At 38.4% G+C, this 10,244-nt stretch overlaps 1 annotated feature.

Annotated features, from left to right (window-relative positions):
* Positions 1,433 to 1,648: a silencer, noted in NCBI's record as "fragment chr16:51738563-51738778 (GRCh37/hg19 assembly coordinates)". NCBI's record gives its function as "represses an EF-1alpha promoter that drives an FKBP-Casp9 reporter gene in an ReSE screen in K562 erythroleukemia cells {active_cell/tissue: K562}" and the evidence as "EXISTENCE:reporter gene assay evidence [ECO:0000049][PMID:32094911]".

The raw sequence follows: 10,244 nt of genomic DNA, 5'->3' as shown, positions 1-10,244 counted from the left end.
GCACCTGTAATCTCAGCTACTCAGGAGGCTGAGGCATGAGAATCACCTGAACTCAGGAGGTAGAGGTTGCAGTGAGCCTAGATCATGCCACTACACTCCACCCTGGGCAAAAGAGCGAGACTCTATTTCAAAATAAATAAATAAATAAAATCCTGAATTAGAAAAATAACTATGAATCCAGAACTCTACATCCAGCAAAAATATTTTTTCAAAAATGAACGTAAATGCTAGAATAAGGTGTCAATAATAGAGAAAACTAGATGCAGTATATATGGGAACTGTCTGTACTATCTTCCCAATTTTTCTGTCAATCTGAAACCATCCTAAAATATACAGTTTAATTTAAAAAGTGAAATACATATTTTTCCAGTCATATAAGAGCCGAGAAAGATCCACACTATAAGAAATGTTAGAGGAAGTCCTTTGGACAGAAGAAGAATGATACCAGTTGAAAATATTGATCTACACAGAAGAATATAGTGTACCAGAAGTGGTAACTAGATGGATAAATATAGTGTTTCCTGTTATTCAAATATTTTCAAAGATAAATCTTTAAACAAAAGTCAATAACAATGTACTGTAAGGTACATAACTTATATAGAAACAAAATATATGACGTTAATAGCACAATGACTGAGAAAGGAAAAATTAAAGTATAATTTTCAAAAGTTCTTATAGATATACAAGTTAGTATAACAACACTTGAAGATAACAAGCTAGAGATGTATACTATAAACCCAAAATCAACCCCTTAAATGATAAAAGAGTTGTAGTTAATAAAAAACAAAACAGATAAAAAGGAATTATTAAAATATTTGATCCAAATAGGCATAAAAAATTAAAAGTGAGTAAATATAACAAATAGAAAGCAAATAGAAACATTACATATTTATCTCTAATTATATCAATATTCATATTAAATATAAATGGCCTAAATACCCAAATTAAAAGGAAGAGATTGTCAGATTGGATATATAAGTAAGAACTCACCTCTATGTTGCCTATAATAAGCAAACTTTAAATATAAAGATATATTTCACTCAGAGAGGATGTGAAAGAATATTAAAAAGTAAGAGGATACAAAAACATGTCATGTTAACACCAAGCAAAACAATGGCTATATTAATATCAGACAATGTAGATTTCAGAGCAAAGAATATAACCAAATACACATACATGCAAGGTAATTTTATCAAGAGGACCCAATAATTCTAAGTGTTTATACACTTAATAATAGAGCTTCAAAATACATGAAGCAAAAACTGATCCAACTGCAAAAATAAATAGACACATCCAGAGTGACATGTGGAGATTTTAATAACTCCTTTAATAATTGATAGAACAAATAAAAAATTAGTAAGGTGTAGTGGTCAGTTCTCATACTGCTATAAAGAACTACCTAAGACTGGGTAGTTTATGAAGAAAAGAGGTTTAATTGACTCACAGTTCTGCCAGCTTAACAGGAAGCATGATTCAGGGGCCTCAGGAAACTAACAATCATGGGGGAAGGCAAAGGGGAAAGCAGGCACATCTTATCCTGGTGGAGCAGGAGAGACGGAGAGAGAGAGAGAGAGAGTGAAAGGGGAAGTGCCACACACTTTTTTTTTTTTTTTTTTTTTTTTTTTGAGACGGAGTCTCACTCTGTCGCCCAGGTTGGAGTGCAGTGGCGGGATCTCGGCTCACTGCAAGCTCCGCCTCCCGGGTTCACGCCATTCTCCTGCCTCAGCCTCCCAAGTAGCTGGGACTACAGGCGCCCGCCACTACGCCCGGCTAATTTTTTTTTTGTATTTTTAGTAGAGACGGGGTTTCACCGTTTTAGCCGGGATGGTCTCGATCTCCTGACCTCGTGATCCGCCCGCCTCGGCCTCCCAAAGTGCTGGGATTACAGGCGTGAGCCACCGCGCCTGGCCGTGCCACACACTTTTAAATCATCAGATCTCGTGAGAATTTCCTTACTATCATAAGAACACCAAGGGGGAAATCCACCCCCATGATCCAATCACTTCCCACCAGGTCTCTCCTCCAACTTGACGAGAGATTTGGGTAAGGACACAAATCCAAACCATGTCGAAGAATATAAATGATGTTAACAAAACAATCAACCGTCTTGACCGAAGTGACATTTATAGAACACTCTACTTGATAAAAACAGAATACTCATGATTTTTAAGCACACATGGAACATTTACCAAGACAATATCATGCTCTTCCAAAACTGACTGACTTATAAATTGGCACACAAATTCTGAGTTTGTGTGCTTTTGTGTTCACATGATGTTCCCTTGGTATACATGCCCTTCCTTTTCTACGGATCCCACCCAACCTGGCTAACTCCTGTTTATCTTTCAAAACCCAACTCAGCCACTACCTCCTTTACAAGACCTTCCTCAACTACGTCAAATAAATTCCTTTCTCCTCCGCATGACTATAATACTTTGTAAATGTATTCATCCTTGCTTGTATCACAGTATGTTAAATTATATGTATAGTTTTTCTGCTTCTCCCACTAGATAACAAAGATATAATTTAGGGTAAAAGTCACATTATTATAATTAACAGCATATGCTATATTTTATTTATTAATGATAACTATCATCTGTGATTACCTATTACATGCCAAACAGTAATTTTCATTGCATTTTTTAATGTAGAGGCAATTTTAAGAAACATTTATATATAACTGTTATGTGTCAAACTCTGGTACAGAATATAGAAAATCTCCCCAAAATATATTTGGAAATCTTAAGGGTAAGGTGATGTGGCCCTACTAAATGACCTTTATTTAACAGACTCATAAATCACGGTGATATTCCAAATCAAACTAAATAACATCAAGATGGCATTTGTCCCTACACAATAAAGAAATTCCAAAATGTAGAGCTATTTACTGTCTTCCTTTAAGTTTTATTTCCAATAACACTACGAGGCACGGATGTTGACTATGTGCTGGTGTAAACACTGTCTTGAGTGGCCCCAATCAGAACTGTCTCCCAGTGAGAGAGCTAAGGAAGCCAGAACCATCCTCTGACCCCTTGTCCCATCAATGAGAATAAATTACCCCATTGAATGGGGAAGAATATTTTTCATTCATTGATTCTCACAGCCATCCAATAGTCTGGATTGCCTCTTGCACTCAATCTTTCACTTCAGAAGGAGAAATTGTCCTCACAAATGGACACCCACTGTGCATCTCACAAACTTTGCATTTGATTTATCTGTGGCAAGCCAAGGAGAAAAACCAGATTTTTCATCAAACATGCCCTTAAATTGTCTGAATTCTCATCAACAGCATCATTCACACAAGAAAAAAAAAAAAGCAGTGATTTGATATAAGACTTCACTCTGGCTGCTTAGTAACATAGTCTTAATGTCCTTTTTGGCTTGACTAGGTGGATCAAAAAGTTTGATTCGCTTTTCTTGCTGCAAAAGTCCTAGATTATTGGGCTAGAAATGAAAACCATTTTTCTTTTTCAGTCAGGGAAAAAGAAAACATTTGCCACATCATTATATACAATATATTGTAGTGGAAAGCACTTAGAAAAATGCCCAAGGCAGGTAGTTACTGCACAACACCAAGAAGACAAAACTTAAGTTCAATGGCAAAGAAAATTTGCCATATTTTCCCCAGCTATGGACCCTGATCCCTTACAGATAACACCATCAGGGCTTGGCACTTAGGCATCCAGAAAAATGGCATGTAGATTGGCATCATGGAATTCAAGGGCACATTAATACTTGCTAATGGGGCTGGGTTTCTACTTCAGTAGAGTCCTGCATGGCAGGAACTTATGAAAAGCCCTTTCCCTTGTAAATTCATGGCCCTTGAGGGAGCTAAACCTGATGATTCCAAGAATATGTTCAGGCACGTAGAACACTAAATTTTCAAACCAGAAGACCCTGGTGGGGACAGCACAATGAAAACAATTCTGAATTATACAAATCACGATCATAGATTACAAAGGTAAAGCTGCTAGTTACCTCTTTGGTTTTCTTTGCATGGTTGAATTATTTAGAAATTCCTTCAGCCAGTCAAACTATGTTGATTAGGTGATAACTAAATTGTTTTCTCGTTTATAATTCCAGCTAAGATTTCAGCTTGATGTTATTAGTTATCATGTTAATGATAACAGATAATGTCAGTTATCATGGGCAAATGTGCTCTTCTTCCTTCCCTCCCTCCCTCCCTCCCTTGCTTCCTTCCTTCCTTCCTTCCTTTCTTCCTTCTTTCCCTCCTTGCTTCCTTTCTTCCTTCTTCCTTCTCCCCCTCTCTGCCTCCCTCCCTCCCTCCCTTCTTTCTTCTTTCCTCTCTTGCTTCCTCCCTCTTTCCCTTCTTTCCTCTTTCTCTTCTTCCTTCCTTTCTCTTTTCCTTCCTCCTATCTTCACAAAGACCTTTGTAGATTGTAGATACAAGGCCACTGTCTTCATGCAACAAAACGTAATGTAGAAGCCCCAGGTTTTGATACTCGCTGGGCAATTCACTTCCACTTATGTTTATTTCAAATAAGACTAATAATTTTGCACGAGACTGAGATCTCCGAGGGCAGGGACATCAGCATTTTTACTTTTCAGCACCTAACAGAACACCTGGCACACAATATATGCTTAATAAATATCTCTTAAATGACCCTGTGTTTGCCTCCTACGAGGAGGTTTTGTGAGACATAGAAAAATGTAAAGTATATAAAATCACTCTGGAAATTTAAAAACACTGGAAGCCAATATTGTCATAATTTCTCTAACTAAAGACCTAAGTCTTCATGGCAAAGGAGGAAAGAGTTAAATGCCTTCATAGATTAGAAAAATAGAATAATTCATTTTAAGAAACTGCTTATTTTCTAGTCCCTGATTATACATATAGACGAGTGACCCACGGCCTGTGGAGGCTTACTGTCATTGTTTTACTAGTAATATCTAATATTTCTTGAGCACTTTCTATGTTCTGGGTGCTATTCTAAGCACTTTATATATGCTGTGTCATTTAAACCTCATGGCAACCACATCAGGTGGTCACTATTATCATCCCCATTTTCCAGAAAAGGCACAGGGAGGGTAATGTGCGTAACCAAAGTTACCTAACTAGTTAGTTGAGTCAGAATGCATGTCCAATCAGGAGGAAATGGAAGTATGCACCAACTGTGAGTCACATTTATATACATTTTTGCCACATCTAGTTATTTACTAGAGCTAAATTTTCTGTATGGACATAATTGGGGTCCATCAGTAAAGGAATTGTCAGAATTCTAAATCTCTAATTCTAACTTCTAGTTAGGAGTTAGACCCATGAGCAAGATTCCATCCACATCAAACATTAAAATCAGTTCCATTGTCTTTCTAGAAAGATTAGTTTCACAAATACCACTTTTATGATCCACAGTTTTTGACTCTAGCTTTTAAAATCAGTTACATCATTCCACCATGAGGTGATTTCAATGCCATTTAAGTATAAGTCTCTCCCCTCCAGCTTCATGGTCAGATTCAAATTGAAATTCCTGGGCAATTCATCCAATTATTTGAAACTTAGTTTCCTCATCTATACAATGGAAATATATAAACTTAGCTCATCATGTTGTTGTGAAGATTCAGTGAGGTAACGTAAAAACCTGTGACTGTTATAAGTAACTCAAAGGATGCTTCAAAATTCCACATATAAAACAGTTGGAGTTACTTGAATAAGAGCTAGGCTTAGCAAATCCCTCTCTAGAAAGAAAACAAATTATTTCAAGAAAATACTCTTTCAAACACTTCAAAACTTGAAGGATTGTGAAATTAGAAGTTATTTTATATTTTTACCTTTTAATGGTAACAGTATTCAACAGCCACTATCTGGATATTCTCTGTTTGTGTGGTTTCAGGTATACCTTAAGTGACTCAGTTCCAAGTGCGTTTATTTTAAACAATACTAAAATGCAGATTTTCACTAGTTCAGACTGTACTCCCCCACTATCAATTCAGATCAGTGAGGTTTTAAAACAAATCAAATCATCCTGAAAAGCACATCACCACCCACCCAGCAGGCACTGAACAACTGCCACATTCTTGACACGAGCTGGTAATGTACACACCGAGACCAAGCCATCAAAATGTGCCATCTTGGCTTTCATGGACCCTATGAGCTAAGACAAACACACTGACATGTCATGGAAAGTAGTTTGAGAACAAATCAGAGCATAAATGCAGCTAGAGTATGTGGGAGACAGTTCCAATTCTCGTTTTTAAAGTAATTGTTTTCCTGAATTACAACATAATACAAAGAAAGATTTTCCAAAGTCAAATAAAACAGAAAGAGCTAAACATAATTTAAAAGTCTCCTATTAATCTACCTTTCTAAGACCACTAACTATAGGACTATAATGCTTTCTGTGTGTGTTTGTGCATGCATGTATATGTGTATATGTGCATATAATGAATATGTATTTATATGGTTAATATATATACACACATAAAACACAGCATGTATTTGTTTTAAAATGAACCGCTGAATCATGCTGTGTAAACTGTAGTTAGAATTTGTCTCTTAGTAATCTATCTTTAGAGTAAAAACACATCTTGCTTTATATTTTTTAGGGTCTTTGGACAGAAGAGAGGAATCGGTTGGTGCATAAGTTAGGTTTTCATTTCTGAGTTGGTTGATTGGATAAGGTTTAGGTGAGGGGAGAAGAGCTTGAGATGGACAAAATAGGCAAAGAATATAAATAAGAAATGGTTTTCAAAAAGGAAATGGGTATTTTAAAACAGAATCCAGGTGAGAGAGGGGTGAGGGGATTGAATAACAGACTCAAAGCAGTAAGTCAATGCTTTGCCCCCACCCAGAATCTGAATCTGAGCTAACTAGTTTCAAACAATACAGGGGACTTAGTATATGAGCTTTGATGTCACCAAGGAAACAACCAGTTGGGAAAGGGTGGGTGTCATCCTTCTAACACTTCCAGGCTGGGACCACCACTCCAGTGGAAAATAAATCAGAGTGGAGAAGAGTGGGGGAAGGAGGGAGAAAAACTTGGCATTTCTGGACAGTGTACACAGTGAAAATGGGTTAAGTTAGCTCAGAAAAGACTCAAGTCCCTTCAGCACTAATTGTATTTCAGTGTTGAGAAGAGATGGGATTTTGTGGCTTTCTTGGCTTCCACTATTAGCTGAAAAAGAGGCAGAGAATTTTTTTTAATAGAGGTTCTTCTGTAAAGAAAGCGGGGAAACAATAGCTAGCTGTCACAGCCAGCTGATATCTACCTTTGATCAGCCAAATGAATGTTGCAGGCATTTCTTATAGAAAGGAGATTGCTTATCGATCTATATCAAAATATGCATGCTAATACCAGGCAGCAGAGAGTATTTTCAAGTGGAGTTAATAATCTGATTGCTGCCCTGTCTGGAGCAATTCTCTGAACTCGGAGCTCTAATCAGTCCAGGGTCTTGCAGTCAAATGTACTTTGCTGTTTAAATTTGGATTTGTGACATTGATTGAGGAGCCCTTGTAAAGGTGTTGACAAATCAAATTGTTTGTTCCAGTAGTGTTTTGCCAGAGATCAAGTCCAAAGTAATACACAGTGAATTTGTTCATTACTAGTAGGGTGAAAGGAATGATAAAATTCACCTGCATCATTATCACAGACATAAGCCTAATAAAAGATATGTTCTGTCTGAAGAAAATGTAGTTTTGTGGGTGCTTTTGTGAGTTATACAGCGGGGTGGCCCTTCTAGACCTGGAGGATATTAGGTATGTTTTAAGAAAGCTAGGCAAATAAATCTATTCCATGTTTAAGATCAGAGCACTTTGTTTACTTGGTTGAAAAACAAACTGAAAAGATGGGCAGATAGATGTCATGTGCTATTTGAAGAAGTCCGTAGGCACACAGACCCATGTGAGATAGAAGACTCATCTACAAGTAGAGGATGTAGACAAAGAAGAAAAGCTCCTAGGTGCTCAATAGGTGGTCCCCATTCATCTGAGGATTGGTAGACCATCTTTATCTGTTTCCATCTGACTTGGGAACTTGCATGAGTGGAAATGACATTGATAAATCTATAGGTCTTGATGAAGTAGGAGGTGGGACTTTACTCTGGACCAGATTGAAGAACTGGCTGACACAGGGAAGAGTCACCAAAAGCACCTCCCTATAAAACATGCCCACCAGTGCCATGAGAGTTTACCACTGCCATGGGAACACCAGGAAGCTACCCTCCTCCCTCCCTTCACTTGGCAACAACCCAGAAGTTACCACACTTCATCTAGAAATTTCTAAATAACCCATGCCTTAATTTTCATGTAATTAACAGCAGGTAGAAGTATGACCGCAGAACTTCCCTGAGCTGCTACTCTTTACACACTGCCTATAGGGTAGCCCTGCTCTGCAGGAGCAGTCACAGAGCTATAACACTGCTGCCTCAATAAAGCTGTTTTCTTCTACTACCAGCTTGCTCCTGAATTATTTCGTGAGCAAAGCCAAGAACCTTCCCAGGCTAAGCCCCAATGTGGAGATTCGCCTGCCCTGTACCATTAATACCCCTGTGTCTGATGTGAGGCTGACTTGGTAGGTAGAGTAAGGCTGGAGAGCACACACAGAACTGTCCTAGGTTGGGTTCTCCCAGAAGCTGATGCTGAGATTGGAATGTGAGTTTATTTTGGAGGTGATCCCAGGAAGCACTGGTGAATAGGAAGGGGAATAGGAAGTGAGCCAGGGAAGGGAAGGAATACATCACATGTTAATGAGCAGGTTACTGCTGTGGGCACATGGGGGATGGTCCTGCTCGGGACTCTGAAATAGCAGAAAGATGAGAAAGAGAAAGAATCTGACCTTGCTAGAGGCAGAAAGGAGCCAAGAGAGACAGAAGCTCCTGCTTGAGTTCAAGTATTTGGGCTCAATAAGCACATTGCCCTGGACATTTGAATTACTGGAATGCTACCGTTTGGGGCAGCAGATGCAATTCAGGATTAGGACAGGATGAGCCCATTGACTAGGTTTCTGGAAAGAGTGGGAGAAAAGTTGACGCTGTTTTGTATTCCAACTTTTCACATCACCTTGACACAGTTAATAATATTATCGATAATAATAATATTAACAGCTAACATTTATTTTATATATTTCATGTTCCAAGCACTTTTTTACATGTTTAAGCGTACTACTTTAGTGTTTTTTAATCTGGAGATTGTAAGCCTTCAGTAGGTCTAAATTAATTTACTGGGTTGCCTGTGAAATAGAAGAGAACACAACAGAATAGACTAGAATAAATTTTGTTACAGTGGAAAATATCAAAGTGTCTAATCCCTCAGAAGGACTAGTTTGGTTTGATGAAAACTCTGTTTTAATTACATGTGTGGGGGTGTGTGTATGTGCACATGTGTGCACACTAGGTCACAGTGTAAAATATATTTGCCACTGTGTATCAAGTATAAGTAGAGAAAGACTGAGTTTTCTCATTTTAGTCTCATAACGATGCTCTAAAGTTGGCATTGTTATCCCCATTTTACAGGAAAGAAAACTGAGATTCTAAAATGTTGAATAACCTACACAAGTTCACACAGCAAGAAAGCGACAGGACCAGGGTTCAACTTCCTCCACAGCAGTGTTTGCTCTCCTCTATAGCAACCACAACACAGCCAACTCTTTGCAGCAGAGAAAATGTAAACCCTGGAACTTTCACAGAGAGCCTGTGCTGGGAAGCCTCCGGGACCATCTGCTCCTCCAGAAGGCTTGCAACTGTTCTTTTCATGTTTGTCAGAAGAGTTTGGTAACAAAACCCATTTAATATCAAACTGGAAGACAGCAGAGTGCTCCTTAGTGTTACAGCACTGTTGATGTCGCCTTAATTTATAACATGGCAAATGGTTAGGCAGATGGCATTTAATATATTCCCAGACATAAACATGAGGCTTAAGTTGTATATGGTATGAGATCCTGGGCTTCCATAAACTCTGTAGGAGGTAAACCTGCCCCTTCCCCCTCCTGCATATGAGCGGTGTTAACCATTCGGAGACACAGGCAGGACACACAGAACTGGCCCAGCTTCGAGAGACTTAGGTGGTAGGCTCTCCAACTCATCCCCAGGTAGTACTGGCCGCAACTGAAATATTTCATGTTAGTCACTAATTGCAAAAGGCAAGGCAAATTTTACGTAATAGAAGGAGCCTGGTCTTAGAGTCTAGACACCTGGGGCCTGGGTCTCATCTCTGGACCTCACAAATCATGTGACTTTGTTTTTTAATTGGTAGATTTTACCTTTTTTTTTTCTTTTTGAAACAGGGTTGC

The sequence above is a fragment of the Homo sapiens genome, chromosome 16 (assembly GCF_000001405.40).
Source record: "Homo sapiens chromosome 16, GRCh38.p14 Primary Assembly".
NCBI lineage: Eukaryota > Metazoa > Chordata > Mammalia > Primates > Hominidae > Homo > Homo sapiens.
The sequence above is the reverse complement of the archived record's forward strand: the minus strand, read 5'-3'. Positions and strand labels throughout refer to the sequence as shown.